Source organism: Homo sapiens, chromosome 10 (assembly GCF_000001405.40).
Source record: "Homo sapiens chromosome 10, GRCh38.p14 Primary Assembly".
Taxonomy (NCBI): domain Eukaryota; kingdom Metazoa; phylum Chordata; class Mammalia; order Primates; family Hominidae; genus Homo; species Homo sapiens.
The window spans coordinates 37,211,494-37,229,600 of NC_000010.11; the positions used below are offsets into that span (position 1 = coordinate 37,211,494).

Consider the following 18,107-nt stretch of genomic DNA (forward strand, 5'->3'; position numbering starts at 1 on the left):
TGGTGTATATGTGCCACATTTTCTTAATCCAGTCTATCATTGTTGGACATTTGTGTTGGTTCCAAGTCTTTGCTATTGTGAATAGTGCTGCAATAAACATATGTGTGCATGTGTCTTTATAGCAGCATGTTTTATAATCCTTTGGGTATATAACCAGTAATGGGATGGCTGGGTCAAATGGTATTTCTAGTTCTAGATCCCTGAGGAATCACCACACTGACTTCCACAATGGTTGAACTAATTTACAGTCCCACCAACAGTGTAAAAGCATTCCTATTTCTCTACATCCTCTCCAGCACCTGTTGTTTCCTGACTTTTTAATGATCGCCATTCTAACTGGTGTGAGATGGTATCTCATTGTGGTTTTGATTTGCATTTCTCTGATGGCCAGTGATGATGAGCATTTTTTCATGTGTCTTTTGGCTGCATAAATGTCTTCTTTTGAGAAGTGTCTGTTCATATCCTTTGCCCAATTTTTGATGGTTCACCACTCCTATTCAACATAGTGTTGGAAGTTCTGGCCAGGGCAATCATGCAGGAGAAGGAAATAAAGGGTATTCAATTAGGGAAAGAGGAAGTTGAATTGTCCCTTTTTACAGACGACATGATTGTATATCTAGAAAACCCCATCGTCTCAGCCCAAAATCTTCTCAAGCTGATAGGCAACCTCAGCAAAGTCTCAGGATACAAAATCAATGTGCAAAAATCACAAGCATTGTTATACACCAATAACAGACAAACAGACAGCCAAATCATGAGTGAACTCCCATTCACAATTGCTTCAAAGAGAGTAAAATACCTAGGAATCCAACTTACAAGGGATGTGAAGGACCTCTTCAAGGAGAACTACAAACCACTGCCCAATGAAATAAAAGAGGATACAAACAAATGGAAGAACATTCCACGCTTATGGGTAGGAAGAATCAATGTCGTAAAAATGGCCATACTGCCCAAGGTAATTTATCGATTCAATGCCATCCCCATCAAGCTACCAATGACCTTCTTCACAGAATTGGAAAAACTACTTTAAAGTTCATATGGAACCAAAAAAGAGCCCGCATTGTCAAGTCAATCCTAAGCCAAAAGAACAAAGCTGCAGGCATCACGCTACCTGACTTCAAACTATACCACAAGGCTACAGTAACCAAAACAGCATGGTACTGGTACCAAAACAGAGATATAGACCAATGGAATAGAACAGAGTCCTCAGAAATAACGTCTTTAATCCATGTTGAGTTAATTTTTGTGTAAGGTGTAAGGAAGGGGTCGAGTTTCAGTTTTCTGCATATGGCCAGCTAGCTTTCCCAACACCATTTATTAAATAGGGAATTATTTCCCCATTGCTTTTTTTTTCAGTTTTGTCAAAGATCAGATGGTAATTTTCACATTTCAATGAATTTGTCAATTTTGTCTAAGTTGTCATGTTTATTCACATAAATTTTATATTATTACCATGTATTTTTAAGTATCTGTAGAATCTTAAAGAATGTCACATTAACTCATTTTCAAACTTGGTAATTTGTAGTTTTTGTTTTCAAGAGCTAGTTTGGCTAGATAGACTTTTGCTTTTATTGATCCTCTCAAAGTGTTTGGTGTTGTTCAAGTTTTCTATCATTTTTGCGTTTTATTCGTTCCATCTCTGATGTTTTAGTTCTCTTTGCCTATTATTTAAAAAATCTGTAGTTGGGAGCTTATCGGCAACATAAATTGAATTCTCACCATTGTGGAAGCTGCACAGTTCAAGATCAAGGTATCATCAGATTTGATGTCTGAATAGGTACCACTTCATGATTCATCGATGCACTGTTTTTCCCTGTGTCTTCACATGGCAGAAAGGGTAAAGAGGCTCTCTGGGGTTATTTCTATCAGGGCATTAATCCATTTATGAAGGGTTGGCCCTCATGACCTAATTACATCCCAAAACTCCTACCTCCTAATAACATCACCTCTATGATTTGATTTTAGCATACGAAAATTGCAAGGACAAAAACATTCAAACCAGTACAGATATTCATCATTTCCTTTCCTCTGCTTCCACTGAGTTTACTTTTTTCTTCTTCTTCTTTTTTTTTTTTTTTTTGGTTTCTTAAGGTAAAAGTCAAAGTTATTTATTTGAGAGTCTTCTAATGTAGACATTCAGTGCTGAAAATTTTAATTTAAGTGCTGTTGTAGATGCATTTTACAATATCTAATGTGTTGTGTTTTCATTTGAAATTAGTTCAAAATACTTTCTAATTTTCCTTTTTATTATTTTTGAACCAACCCAGGGTTATTTGGATGTATGTTACTTAATTTCCAATAGTTGAGTTGTTTCAGGTACTTTTTTATTATTGATTTTTAATTTGATTGCTTTTGGGTCAGGTAACATGTTTTGTATGACTTAAATCCTTCTTAATCCTTTTATTAAGATATGATCTAGAATATAGTCTTTGAGTACTTCTGAAGAATGGTGTTAAGTCTATCACATTCTTGCCGATTTTCTGCCTCTCATTTTACCACTTGAGTAAGGGGTTTAGAAATTTTAGACCACACTTGGGCATTTGTCCATTTCTTTTGCAGTTCTATCTTTGTATCATGTATTTTGAAGGATTTATGTTATTATGCACATAAATATTTAGGACTGTTATGTTTTCTTGATTAAGTGAACCCTTTGTCACTATAAAATGACTTTGTTTATTGCTGGTAATATTTTTGCTATGAAATGTACTTTGGTATTAATACAACCACCCTTCCTCAGCCTTCTTTTGTCAAGTGTTAGTGTGGTATATGTTGTTTCATCTTTAATCAATTTTTGTCTTTATATTTAAAGTTTATTTCTTATAGGCATTACACAGGTAGATCTTACTTTTATATCCATTCTGACAATCTGCTTTTGAGCAGAGGTTTTTAGACCACTTTAATTTATAATGTAATTATTGATATGATAAAAGTTTGCTGTCATCATGCTGTTTGATTTCTATTAGTTCCAGATCTTCTTTGCTTTGCTTTTGTTCTTTTTCTGCTTCCTTCAGACTAGTTTAGTAATTTTTATGATTTAGTTTTATAGGTATATATATATATATATATATGTATAACTTTTTTAGTTATTGATCTAGTTTTATATTTCTTTATGATTTAGTCATATCTTTTTGTGGTATAAGTTTATTTGGTTATTAGGTATAACTCTTTGCTTTGCTGTCTTAGTGGTTTTTTTAGGATTTATAGTGTATGGATTTACCTCATCACAACCCATCTTCAAGTAATATTATATCATATCATAGATGGTATAAGAAATTACAATTGTGTATTTTCATTTCTTCTCTTCCAGCCAGATCCCAGCCTGGATCTGTGGGATTGTAGCTTTCATTAAGTTTAGAATGTATTTAGCCAATTTTTCCTCAAATGTTTTTTTCTGTCTCTCCTCCTACCTGTTTGGAGACTTATATATTACCTGCTGGGAGTTTGCTCATAGTTCTCTAGTGTCTCAAATTTGTGAATCTTTTCTTTCCTGATGGCAAATCAATCTATGCTCATATCTACTCAGTGTAGCTTTCATCTCCGGCATTGTAACTTGTATCTCTACAAGTGCAATTTAGTTTTTAAAAGTATATTCTATTGCTCTACTTATCTTCTTGATTTTTATTGTAGAATAGAGTTGAGTTACTTATAAACAGCTTGATCTTTTTCATTTTTGCTTTTTATGGTATGAGCTAACTCCCCACACCTGAGGGGCAAGGCCTTTCTGACTATTCATTTTCCTGTGAAGTCTGAGTCTTCCAGGTAAATCTATAAAAATAGACACTCTTCTTGCCACTATGTGAGAACCAGGTGTGATTTTCTCTAATTTTGTAAGACCCCCCCGACCCAGCTTGGTCTTAGGTAGTTTTCTGACTCACATGCAATCTTTATTATTTTGCTAAATAGTAGGAGGGGTTTCCAGGGGTTTCTTGCTATTGCTTCTGTATCTCTCTCCCCTCCTCAGTGTTTTGTTCTGTAATGTCTGTCTGCTTTGGTTTTACCAGACTCTAAGCTTCATCACTGTAACCAAGAGAGTCTGATAGGTTCCACCTCAGTTTTTTCTTCCTGTGTCACGTCTTGGAATCTCTGTCAAAGCAGGAAGCTGAAACATTCATAAGGTTTGCTTTCCATTTTTTTTCTGTTTTTCAGGGATTATCATCTTCTTTGCCTAATGTCCACTGTCTAAAAAAATTGTTTAATGTATTTTGTGTGTTTTCTTTTTAGTTATTTTAGCTAAGAAGAAAAATCAATACCCATTGTTCTCTTTTGGCTGGGGTCAGACTACACTAGAGCTTCAGCACATGCCACACACTGGCTAAAATGCTTTTCTTCCCCCTTTGCTCAACTGCTTCCTTTTCAATCTTTATTCCACAGTGTAGCCATACATTCCTCAGGGGAATTTTCTGTGGGCCTAGTATATATCTTATTCTTAGCAATCTGTTTTCTTACAGTATCTATCTGAATTTATAATTGTCACTTTTCTGGGGCTTTGCTTTTCAGTATATTTTAAGCTAAACAAGAGGAGAGGTTTTTTTTTTTTCTGTTTAATCTGCAGAGCTTAGTATAATGCCTTCCACGTGGTAGGCAATCAATATATATTTGTTCAGTGTATAAGTGATTGTTAAAATATGCAGCCCTTTATATCCCAAAAGTACTAATATATTTTATTTGTATCTCCTCCTTGAGACAGATTCAACTAGCCTATCAAAAATCTTGGATACAGTTCATTCTTGTGAAAGAGCAAGGGAACTTCAAAAAGATCACTGTGAACAACGTACAGGAAAAATGGAACAAATGAAAAAGAAGTTTTGTGTACTGAAAAAGAAACTGTCAGAAGCAAAAGAAATAAAATCACAGTTAGAGAACCAAAAAGTTAAATGGGAACAAGAGCTCTGCAGTGTGAGGTGTGATTTCCTAGTTTTAAATAAATATTTCAGCTATTTATACTAAAACTACGTAGGATACTTTTTGTAATAGCTGACTTACCTTCTGAGGTTTTACTGGAGAAAAAAATGTCTGTCTTGTAGAGTGTCAAATTCTTTAAATAATACAAGTTCTTAAATGTGAATACTTCTGCTGATAATTAAATGCATATTTATTTAAATCACAGTTTTAATGGCTATATAGAAGGCCATTATTTGGAAATCCCATTACTTACTTAACAAATTAAGTTTTTTGATTTTTAACTTTCTGTATTATAAATGCTGCAAGGCATAACTGCATGTAAAACTTTTTCTACTTTTCTAATTATTGACTTGAAATAAATTCTTCAATATAAAAATATTTGGTTAAGTTATAGGAAGTTTTTAAGAAGTTATTTGTTCATTACTTCTAAATTGTTCTCAAGAAAATGTATATTCATTACAGTTCAACAAAGAGAGCGTGAAATGGCCATTCTTCTTTCCCCAAGACTCGATTTCTTTCAATTATACACTTTTAATCTTAATGTGCATGGAATATAAAGAAAATGTATAATAATTTATTAGTTTATTCAACATCTCTTGCTGTCCTACATAAAATGAATTCAGAGTTCTATGTTAAAAATGCATACTATTTTTATTCTTTAATTAAATATTATATTCTGTCTTGTTCTAAAAGAGATTTAAAATTTGTTGATAAAATATATAATAATCAACAAGGTACGTTTAAAGCATTACTCAAAAAAGAAACAAAAGGCATATGGGATAACAGATATTAGACTCTTTAACCTAATCTGAGATTTTAATATTAAAATTATTTTTAGGGATACTTGCCATATTTTAGAAGTATGAATATTTATGTCTAACAGATCTGTAAACTTGTTCATAAAAAGTAATCAGTTAACTTTAATCAGTCACTTTAATCAGTTAACTCTAAATAATCTGTCCTCATTGAGGAGTAATTTTGACTGCGTGAGATTTTTAAAAAATAATTTTCAACTTATAAATTTACTGGATAGCTTCCAATATTCTTTTCTATAACAGTCGTTGCAGTTAATAGTAGCAGAAACTTTCTAACTGGAAGATGTTCTTTTCTCGCTATTTTTCAAGTATGTATGTCATTTGGAAGAGTTTGGAGTAATAAATAGCTGAGAACTAGGAAGAAAAAAATTCAAGAATATAGGAATTTTATTGGACTAATAACCCAATATAGGAAGAAATAGATCTCAAAATGAATTCTATTTTCTAACAAAATGAATTTTAAGATAAGTATGTTTAATGGCAGATTGACTTTAAACCAAGAAGAAGAGAAGAGAAGAAATGCCGATATATTAAATGAAAAAATTAGGGAAGAATTAGGAAGAATCGAAGAGCAGCATAGGAAAGAGTTAGAAGTGAAACAACAACTTGAACAGGCTCTCAGAATACAAGATATAGAATTGAAGAGTGTAGAAAGTAATTTGAATCAGGTAAATCAATCTCTGATAAAAATTTTATATTTCTAACTTTATTTCATCAATATTACTTTTAATATCCCTTTGATTTAGTATGTATTATTCAGGTCTAAATCAAACAAAAATGTTGTCTTAAAATTAACTATCACATTTGTAGCTACAGTTATTTATTATAAGTTATGACATCCAAGTAGTATCTTATTTCAGTACAAAGAGCTTTTGAAAACAATGATAATCCCTACCATATAGTTAGTGATAATTTATTGGTAAGTAGTTTGTTCCTAGCAACATAGTTTAGTGTTTTTCCTAGTTAACATTTAATACTGACTCAAACATTATCAAGAGGAAGCAAAAGTTACAGCCATAGTAAATAAGCTCATGGTTTTCTATGTAGGGCTCTCTAGATTTTATCTTCTTTCTTTTGTTTTGAAATAGAAGACTTCTTTTATATTTACATATTTACCCAGTAGAATGAACTGAGATTTGGTGAAGTCCTGGATGTAGACTCAGAAGACTGGGAGAAAATCCTACAACTTGTTTATATTTTTAATCTTTTCCTTTCAGAATTGTGATAACTAAAAGTGCTTGTTACAATGTCTCAACTTATCAAACATTCATAAATATAATTCTTAAAATTAACTATATTTTTTAAAAAGATAGAATATCTAGAGAATATTATCAGGAAAAAGGAACTGAAAGAGCTCTGGGAAATTTTATCTGTCTAAATATATGCAGCACTAAGATTCTTAGTATATGTTAGACATCAGAGTGTAAACCCAATTTTCGTATGTAGTCAAATTGATTTATCTTTTATTTTATGCTTTTGAGCTTGTTGTAATTCAGGGAAAGTTTTTTTTTTCAATTCCGAGGTTCTTAAAAACTCTCTAGTCATTTCTTTTGTACTTTCATGAATTCGTTGTCTTCAAATAAATGTTTGAACTTTGGGGAATTTATGCTCTATAGCATTTAAAGTTTTGATTCAGTGGTTCTTCAACTGATACCTACTTATAAAAACCCTTTCATTGTATAAATGTACAAGTTATTCTTTAGTTTCAGAGGAACCATGATATGCCATTTTATTGAGTGCTAGCTAAAAGTTTATTTTGTTTTATTTAGGTTTCTCACACTCATGAAAATGAAAATTATCTCTTACATGAAAATTGCATGTTGAAAAAGGAAATTGCCATGCTAAAACTGGAAATAGCCACACTGAAACACCAATACCAGGAAAAGGAAAATAAATACTTTGAGGACATTAAGATTTTAAAAGAAAAGAATGCTGAACTTCAGATGACCCTAAAACTGAAAGAGGAATCATTAACTAAAAGGGCATCTCAATATAGTGGGCAGCTTAAAGTTCTGATAGCTGAGAACACAATGCTCACTTCTAAATTGAAGGAAAAACAAGACAAAGAAATACTAGAGGCAGAAATTGAATCACACCATCCTAGACTGGCTTCTGCTGTACAAGACCATGATCAAATTGTGACATCAAGAAAAAGTCAAGAACCTGCTTTCCACATTGCAGGAGATGCTTGTTTGCAAAGAAAAATGAATGTTGATGTGAGTAGTACGATATATAACAATGAGGTGCTCCATCAACCACTTTCTGAAGCTCAAAGGAAATCCAAAAGCCTAAAAATTAATCTCAATTATGCAGGAGATGCTCTAAGAGAAAATACATTGGTTTCAGAACATGCACAAAGAGACCAACGTGAAACACAGTGTCAAATGAAGGAAGCTGAACACATGTATCAAAACGAACAAGATAATGTGAACAAACACACTGAACAGCAGGAGTCTCTAGATCAGAAATTATTTCAACTACAAAGCAAAAATATGTGGCTTCAACAGCAATTAGTTCATGCACATAAGAAAGCTGACAACAAAAGCAAGATAACAATTGATATTCATTTTCTTGAGAGGAAAATGCAACATCATCTCCTAAAAGAGAAAAATGAGGAGATATTTAATTACAATAACCATTTAAAAAACCGTATATATCAATATGAAAAAGAGAAAGCAGAAACAGAAGTAAGTATCAAAAAATATAAATACTTGTCAAACTTCCTGAAAGAAAGTTTAAAGTCATATTTGGCCTTGGCTAAATGCTGAATCTAGTTGAATATATATATATATATATATATATATATATATATATATATAATATATGTATGTATAAATAGATGATAAATGCACTTACTATATCAGCTTAGAAACATGCCTCATTTCCACCAAATGAAAGTTAAAGCTGAGAGACGTTTTACTTTGAGTAAAGACATTGTGTCACTGATGAAATTTTAAGAGTTTAAGATTTTTAATAGATTAACATTAATGACATTGGCTTTTACTGTTGAAATAAAGGTTTTAATGTCTCTTTGTGGCCACATTTTATGACCACAATGAAGCAGATGAATGGGAATGCCCGTATCAGCAATTAGTATTTTGAAATTAAGATTCAATTTAGCAATTTACTTTGACAGTTAATTCTAAATTTTCCAGAGGAACTGAAGTGTATTTGAAGTATACATTTCTGCGTCTTGTAATAATACTTTTTTTCAGTAGCTTTTTATGTATTTTAGTTGATAGAATTTTATTTTCATTTATGTCAATTTGACTTAAATCTGAACATATTTGAATCTCAAATTATGTATTGTTATAACCTCAATTTTTTAAAGGCATCTGTGTTTTATTAAATAATACCTTAGGACAAATGTAGTGAATTTTAGCAATATCAAATTTGATTTAATCACCCCACTGGTATTTATAATTTATTTTGAATATTGTTACAAATAATTTGCTCATAATTTCTATTTGAAGGCTCAAAGATTATCATGTCCCAGAGAAAGATCATTGTAGCTCTCTGTGATTTATTAGCTTTGCATTGGGTCCCCATTTTACAATTCATGAGGGGTGGCAGGGTTCATGTATAGTACAAAAGAAGTGAGTAGAGAAGAGAAACACAGCAGCTGAGGTCAGGAGGGATGCAGAGACCAGGTTACCTAAGGCCTCTAAAGCCTTTGAAATAAAAATACTTTTATTCTGAGATAGAAATCTATTGGAAAAATTTCAGCATGTGATTGAATATGTGAGGAACTTTGATGTTGATTTGTGCTTCTAATACAGAAGAAGGAGAAAGCATTCCACTGTGTAGAATTTACCACCATTAGTCCTTCCCACATTTTTTTTTTTTTTTTTTGAGACTTCAGTAGGTTGTGAAGCATTACAGATTCATTAGCGGACAAATGACTAGTGGGATGAATCTGGTGTCTAGTAAGAGAGTACCAGTTTGGCAGGAAGATAACATCTTCTTGTCTCCTTAAGTGGATTCAGTAATAAGCAGCAATGGGTACAAATGAAGAAAATAAGCTGAATCAATATATTTGGGGATATTTTTGAAAGTAAATATTGTTAATTTGATAAGATGATTTACAAAATCAATAACAAACATGTCTTGTCAGGTCATTGTGAGACAACTTCAAAAAAACTTGGCTGATCTCAATAAACAGTGTGTGTCTGAGGCTTCACTAGAGGTTACATCACATTATCACATTAATCTCAAAGATGAGATACAGGATTTAATGAAGAAATGATTTCAAATCAAAAGTCAAGTATGCATTAAATGTAACATGCCAACAGTGAATCTATAGCTGGTTAAATAATATAAATTGTTTTATGATACTAACTTCCATGGGAAGACTTCTTTTATATGTCATTATAGTTAGTTTTGTTACAATTTTATTATCTTTAAAATGTGCTTATTTTTAAAACTGTGGCTGTCATTCTGTAATGTTTTTCTTATAATTACATATTTTTCTCATAATATTTACCCTTAAGAAGATTAAGAATTATACATTGTTTAGCCCACAGGTTGGGAGACTATTCTTCAGATAAACAGTGTTTTTCAGTGATTTATGTTACCATGGCGAGGCAAGCCATATTTAATCAGAGAAGAATGTATAATGGAATATTCCAGAAAATTATCTTATTTCTTAGCTCCACTTTTGTGAGTGGATGCCAAGGACATTATACTGTTCTCCAAAATGGAGATGTTTAGGTTAATATACACAGTATTAGAATAGCTAGGCAATTCTTTTATTTTTTGTTTTTAATTATATTGTATAAACATAAACATTTAGATCATGTATAGTATGCATTCAAACATTCAAAATAGAAAATAGAGGAAATTATCTTGATACTGCCATTGGATGTTTAAAAAGGAACTTTATTGGGATAAAATTCACATATCATATAGTTCACACATTTAAATTGTACAACTCAGCATCTCTTAATATATTCACAAAGTTGTATAACCATCACCACAGTCATTTTCAGAACATTTTCATCACCCTAAAGAGAAACTTCACATCTCTTAGTCATCACCACCGCCCACCTCCATGTTTCTTCACCTTCCCCAGTCCTAGGCAACCATCGTCTAGTTTTTGTCTTTATAGATTTGCCTGTTCTGAACATTTCATAGAAATGGAGTCATACAATTTGTGGTGTTTAATGAGTGGCTTCTCTTACTTAGCATAGTGTTTTTAAGTTTCATCTATTTTGTAGTACATATCAGTACTTCATTTCTATTTATTGTCAAATAATATTCTATTGCATGGCTACAGCAGCTATTCATTCATCAGTTGATAGATGTTTAGGTTGCTTCTGCTTGTGGCCATTATGAATAACGCTGCTGTAAGCATTCACTTACAAGTTATTGTGTGGGCCTATATTTTTATTTCTCTGCCACTGGATTTTATATTTAGTTAATTGGGCCGATTTCCATATCTCTCTGCCTTCCTCATGCTGTTCCTCCATTTTCAGTTTTTGTTCATCTATCCTCATTCATTCAGACTTGGTGGACACATTTTCCATTTTCATAAAGCTTTCTCTGACTGTTCTGACTCTCATTGACCTTATGCTTCAGGATGTGTTTTCTAGTTGGTGCAGAACAATTTAACTTTCAATTGTACATTGCTTTATTTTTTCATGAGACATAATCATGTCTTATTATAAATTTGCCTAAGCAGGGGATAATATCTGACATACATGCTACCTGTTATTGTGTAAATTGAAAATATTCTATCTTACCAGTTGTTACAATTAAATATATTATACTGATAATTTATTTTTTCAGACATTGACATAATAAAGTTTTATTTGAAATATATCTTAATCAATAAATATAAAACAGAAACCACTCTAATAGAGGACAATTGTTCTAGTCAATACTCATATTTGTTCTGACTATTGAGAAAAATTATGTCTGCATTTTAAAAGTTTCAAATTTTGAAGCTTCAGATTTTAGAATAGGGATTTTCAACCCACGGTACTGGGTCTCCTCAGTTTACAGTGGCATTACGTCTTGATAAACCCATTATAAGTTGAGAATATTGAGAATGAGAAACATAGAAAACACATACACTTTATCTAAAGAAAAATGGTTAATAGAAAAAGAAAAAGAAAAAAAAACTATAAAAGAATGCTTACAGAGAATGAGCGTAGTTACCTTATCCTGAAGTTAGGTGAGAATCAGAAATGTTATGGGGAACAAATGAGAGCTTTCAAAAAATTATCTTACTTAGATCTGAATGAACAAACCTGGAATATTGTGAACTATTGATGACAATGCTTTGAGGGCATCTTTGGAAACCAAAATGTAAATATAACTAATTATTTTTTCACTTATTGTTAGCATTTAGTATTTTATGCATAAAAACTTTTTTACCAAATAAATTTTGGAAGTTTAAATTCCACAAATGATACTAATGAAAGTATAAATCATTTTGGGTTGTTTTTTAAAAAATTATGTTTCAATCTGTCATTATTGGAATAAAGTGTATAAACTGCATGTTATAAAACGGCTTTACACATATATAACTCATGAACTCAAGAGAAATAATATTTTTAGGAAAGAAGAGTATCTCTAGATTTTTAATAATAATTAAATTTCTTTAAAAGACTGAAGATAGAAAAGAGAAATTAAACATATGTATTGACTTAATGCAATCTCTGGAGGATAATTTGGATCAAGAAATAAAGAAAAAATGAATTAGGAAAAGAAATAACTGGGTAATATTTCAATATTTTAGAACTTTAAAAATATTAACTATAATTTCAATATATTTATTAAAACTGAGATACAAGTTTGACCTATATCTGCATTTTGATAATTAAACAAATTATTCTATTTTAATGTTTTTTCAGAGTCACAGCACAAACTGAAACTTTTTTTGAATACCTAAATATCACACTTATTCTTTAATGATTTTGAAAACAATAATGACAATGCCTTTGGCATATAATGTCAACTGCTCTTTTCATTATCTACTTTGAATTTTTATTTCTGAAGATATTTTTGTTTGTATTTGGTAATCTTCTTCTTGGTAGTATGCATATCTGCTATTCTTTAATATCTAAAAATATGTCTTTGTTATTTTTAAACATCATCAAAAATTATCTTGATTAACGTTTCTTTTAGTCTCTTTGATTTTTTTTAGTTTTAAAATATATTATGGATATTTACTTATTTTCTACTGGTATCTCCCATGCATATGTGAGCTACATATATATATCACTAAACTTCTGTTGTTTTTGATACACACACACACACGTGTATATATACACATATATTATATGTATATACATATATATGTTATAATAAAAAATATGTATGACCTAAAAAAGAGTAAATGAGTAATTGTGTTTTTGCCACTCAGATTAAAAATAGAACTTTCCTCAGTGCCTTTGAAGCCCCCAAGACGGCTGCTTTTCAATTTGCTGAGAACTTTAATTTGTTCTCTGATTCCAATTAATATTTTTCTCTCATTATCTTTCTCTGCATGGTTTTGGATGCCTTTCACTTTGTTAGCACTGTGCTAGCAAAGATCTTTAGATCTCTTCCTACAACAGTCGTGAAGTCTTCACATGATCTCTCTTTTCATTTCTTTTCTTCTAAAACTGCCTGTTTCCTTTTCCCTCCTCAACTCAGAATGTTTTCTTTCTATTTTTCTACTTTGAATAATCTTTGTGATAATTTATGTGTGTGTGTTCTTTTCTTCTACAGACTGTGGTCAAAAGGTATAAAAAATGTATTGTGTCTTTTGCAAACATTCATATATAAATATGCTTTTCCCCTTTGATGCTGATCTCTGAGTAAAAATTCGTATTTAATAATACGCTAGTGTTTTATATTAACATATTAGGTTGATGCAAAAGTAATCATGGTTCAAAAACCATGATTACTTCTCCCCCAATGAAATACTAAAATAAATATTAATAGTTTATATATAAAAACTATATATATGGTTATAATATCAATCCTTTATCTGTCATATATGCTGTACATTTTTCTTCATATTACTTACATAAAGTTAAATTTTGTTAGAATGTTTTCAAACTATGTTACGTCGAAACCAATGAGAGAGGGTCATAATTTATTGACTTGTTTCTTTGTAGGTTAGAACATGTTTGTTTAAGAAATTATTAAATATTAGTCTGAAACATTTTGACTTAGTCATTGTGTACATTCCTGCAGATATAAGAAGCTTTTAGAAATTACAGAAAAGAAGTTAAAGGAATGTTAAAATGGAAAGCTAAATTTCCATGGAGATTTTAAAACCAGTCTACTTGAAATGGATATTTAGATGAATAAGCTAACACATGAAGTACTTTTTAACTAGTTTGAGGACCAAAAGAACTACCCACATACTTTGGGGAAGTAAAAATCTGTCAGTGCTTTGAGCAGTGAAAGAGATTTTTAAAAAAATTTTTTTGGGCTTGATTCTAATGGAAAGAATACATTTTTAATATGTTCTTTTTCTATAAGGCGGGCATACTGCTCATTCCATGTCTTGAACACTGGCCAATGATACAAAAGCAAGCAGTACGCCATCCTATGATGACTTCAAGTCACTAGTATCAAATTGATTTTCTCGGTAACAATTTTAGTGAGATATAATTAACATGCCATGCAATTCACTCTTTGCAGTAGCTTTTAGTATTTTCACAGAATTATACAATCGTCACCACAATCTATTCTAGAATATTTTTATCAGTCTAAAAAAAAATTCGGCATTCTTTGTCACCTACCAGTTTCCCATTCCTTGCTCAGTTCTAGGGAACCACCGATCTACTGTGTTTGTATATATTTGTCTGTTCTGGAAGCTTTATCTTGTTCAAATCACAGTACATGGCCTTTTGTGACTGGATTCTTTCACTTAGCATAACATTTTCTTTTTATTTATATATATATATATAATTTTACTTTAAGTTCTAGGGTACATGTGCACAACATGCAGGTTTGTTACATATGTATACATGTGCCATGTTGGTGTGCTGCACCCATTAACTCGTCATTTACATTAGGTATATCTCCTAATGCTATCCCTCCCCCCTCCCCCCACCCCACAACAGGCCCCGGTGTGTGATGTTCCCCTTCCTGTGTATCCAAGTGTTCTCATTGTTCAGTTCCCACCTATGAGTGAGAACATGCGGCGTTTGGTTTTTTGTCCTTGCAATAGTTTGCTGAGAATGATGGTTTCCAGCTTCATCCATGGCAAATTGGATAAAGAGTCAAGACCCATCAGTGTGGAAACCCATCTCACATGCAGATGCTATAGCATAACATTTTCAAGGTCCTCTGTTGCAGCAAGTATCAGCACTTAATTTCTTCTTACTGCTGAGTATATTTCATTGTCTAGATACATCAAACATTTTATTTACCCACTCATCAGTTGATAGATCTTTAGGTTGTTTCCATTTTGGGCTAATATTAATAGTGCTGCTATGAACTTTTAGGTATAAGTTTTTGTGTTTGCATATGTTTTCATGTCTCTTGGGTGTATACTTATGAGTGGAATTGCTGAGTCATATGGTAGTCTATGTTTAACTTTTGGAGGAAATGCCAGTACATTTTCCAAAGCAGCTATACCATTTTTCATTAGCAGTATGAGGGTTCTAATTTCTCCACATTTTTACCAGGAAAGATTCCATCCTAGTGGTGGGAAGTGGCACCCCTCTGTGGTTTTATTTGCATTCCCTAATGACTGATAATTTTAAGGATGTTTTAATTAAAACATGCATCTTAGCCATGTGTATATCTTCTTTGGAGAAATGTCTCTTTCCATCCTTTGCCCATTTTCTAATTGGGCCATCTTGTTTCTTTCTGAATGGTAAGTGTTCTTTATATATCCTAAATATAAATTTTCTATCAGAAATACAGTTATCAAATATTTTCTCCTACTCAGTGCTTGCCTTTTTACTTTACTGTTAGTATATTTTCAAGCATAGCAGTTTTAAATTCTAATGTTAATCCATATTTTGAGTTGTTATATCTAAGAAGCCACTGCCAAATGTAGTCACAAAGATTTATTCCTGTCTTTTCTTTGAAGAAACTTATAGTTTTAGCTCTTAAATTTAGCTATTTTATTTTGAGATAATTTTTAAATACAGTATTTGGTGGGACTCCAACTTTTTTCTTTTGCATATGGATATCCATTTGTCCCAGAACCATTGGTTGAAAATACTATTCTTTTCCCATGTAGTCATTTTGTTATCCTTGCTGAAAATCAATTGACCATACATGTGCAGGTCTGTTTTTGGATTCTAAATTCTAAAACATTGATCTCTCTATTCTTATGCCAGTACCAAATCAACTTATATGAGAACTCTTTTTCAATCATGTTGCATATTACCAGTTATATATTATCATACATGATAAAAGTTCAGTATAGAGAAACATCTTTACTTTTTGTTTCTTGAAAGAGCCCATGGCCAGCTTATGCACTGCTGACTCCATGACTTGATGGGAAGTCAAGCTTACAAAGACAAGAGTCCATTCCTTTGTTTCTCTATTCAAACCTTTAGTCTCTCATTGACTGCCTCTCTCTTGAGTCCCATTTCTATCAAATCTTGGTCACATCATCTGACAGTCTACTATTTCATGCATTAGGTTCTATTAACTCATTGTAATTTGTACAATCATCTGTAGATGTTATCCATCCTGGGAAGAGAAGAGTCAGTCCAGACTGTAAGCTTTTCTTATTGGAAATGGAGCTAATTCATCATCTTGCAGTTCACAGGTAGATCCTCTTTTGACCTGGCACCTGATTCTTGTGTATAACACCTGGGATGATCTTTTCTTGGTACAGTTCCTGCATTCCCAGAAGTCACCATTCTCTGTAATTACTTCCCTCTGCTTAAATAGGTCAAGATGCACAGCTATATTTTATAGCTTCATACATATTTTTTGGAATAAATATTTTATGCTATTCAAAGAAAAAGTTTCAGAAGTGCAGCACTAAAAAATCAGGTTATGTTTAGGCAATTTATAAGAGACAAATAATAGTGAAATTAGTTGTTTGAATTTCAAAATATCAAAGCTAATTTTGTTGTATGATATGAAGAAGCATTGTGGTACAACATAAAGATTAAATGGTTAACTTCTTCATATAGACAAACTTGAAGTACAGTGAAGGAGAAATTGTATTTAATTTATTAACATTCAAACCCACTACATTTATTTTACTTCTGAGATGATTAAAAATGATTCTACAATGTTCTCTTTATTTTCTCATTGAAGAAAGGAAAATGAATAGTGAATGCCAGATTGATTAATAAATACTCAATACTGCTTAGCTTTCTGAAGATTTTACTTCTATGAAATCAGATAACATCTGATTTTGATTGTTAAACCAAATATTTTTAATTTTCCAGCTGTTGCGCTTCACAACTTGCCTCTTTGCTTCCCTGTCTTACTGATTTCCTAACTTGAGGGGAAATCCTAAAGAAGCACACTTGCCTAGTAATAAGAATTTTTAATTAAAAGGAATTTTAGGAAATCTTTCTCCTCAGTAGCTCTTATGTCTGTCTGCTACTTTTCTACTGCTTCTCATTAGCATTGTTTGTCATGAATAAATTAATATCAACCTCTATTAGATTGTACTTTAAAGGTGACTAATTTCTACTGTGTAAGTTTTCTATTGTCATTTTTTAAATCAAATTTTCTTTTTATTGTTTCCTAACAATTGCCCACAATTTAGTGGGTTAAAACAACAACATTTGTTTTACTAATTAATCTGCCATTTGGGAAAAGCTCGGCCAGGACAGCTTGTCACTGTTCCTCTTAACTTGCCTGGGGACAGCTCAAAGACTGGGAAACTACAGTAATCTGAAGGTTTGCTCAGCTATATGTCTTGTTGTTAATGCTGGCCATTGCCTAGAATGTTGGCTGTGGCAGGCAGCCAGATCACCTACATTGGAGCTTCTAGGCATTCATAAATGGCACTTGCTTTGAAAAAAATGGAATATGGTAAGAGGTATACCGTGAGATTTGCAACATTAGTTTAGAAAAGGCTCTCTATCTCAAACTGCTTGCCCTTGGTACCCCCTTCTCCTGTTTTGAGTGAGGATGGTCAGGCCACATTCTATTCATTAGCAGTAAGTCACTAAGTTTGGCCCATGTTATTATTTTTTTAATGAGATGAATTGTTTTATATTTTTAGTTGACATGTACATACACGTTTATGGGATGTAGAGTAACAATGATATCTCCTCTATATATGTATGCAATGTGTAATGCTCAAATCAAGATAACTAATATATTCAACACCTCAAACATTTATTATTTATTTCTGTTGGGAACATTTCCAATCCTCTCTTCTAGGTTTTGGAAGCATATCATAAATTATAGTTAACTGTATTCACTCTACAATGCCACAGAACACCAGAACTCATCCTC

The 18,107-nt window shown here is 31.8% G+C and overlaps 1 protein-coding gene across 7 annotated transcripts in view; it reads left to right on the plus strand.

Annotated features, from left to right (window-relative positions):
* The window catches only part of ANKRD30A (ankyrin repeat domain 30A), a 140,297-nt gene that overhangs the window by 85,896 nt on the left and 36,294 nt on the right, over positions 1-18,107 (plus strand). For 3 of the 7 annotated variants that reach the window (XR_007062015.1, XR_930524.4, NM_052997.3), the window contains 3 exons: positions 4,688-4,901; positions 6,202-6,385; positions 7,487-8,404. Coding sequence is in view for 5 of the 7 variants with exons in the window: in NM_052997.3 (NP_443723.3) it covers positions 4,688-4,901; positions 6,202-6,385; positions 7,487-8,404 (1,316 nt within the window). In the remaining 2 variants the exon portion in view is untranslated. Of the gene's footprint in view, positions 1-4,687; positions 5,281-6,201; positions 6,386-7,486; positions 8,405-9,831; positions 11,456-18,107 lie in introns of those variants that run through there. The other 4 variants (XM_011519757.4, XM_047425990.1, XM_011519758.3 and 1 more) reach the window with 4 other exon arrangements.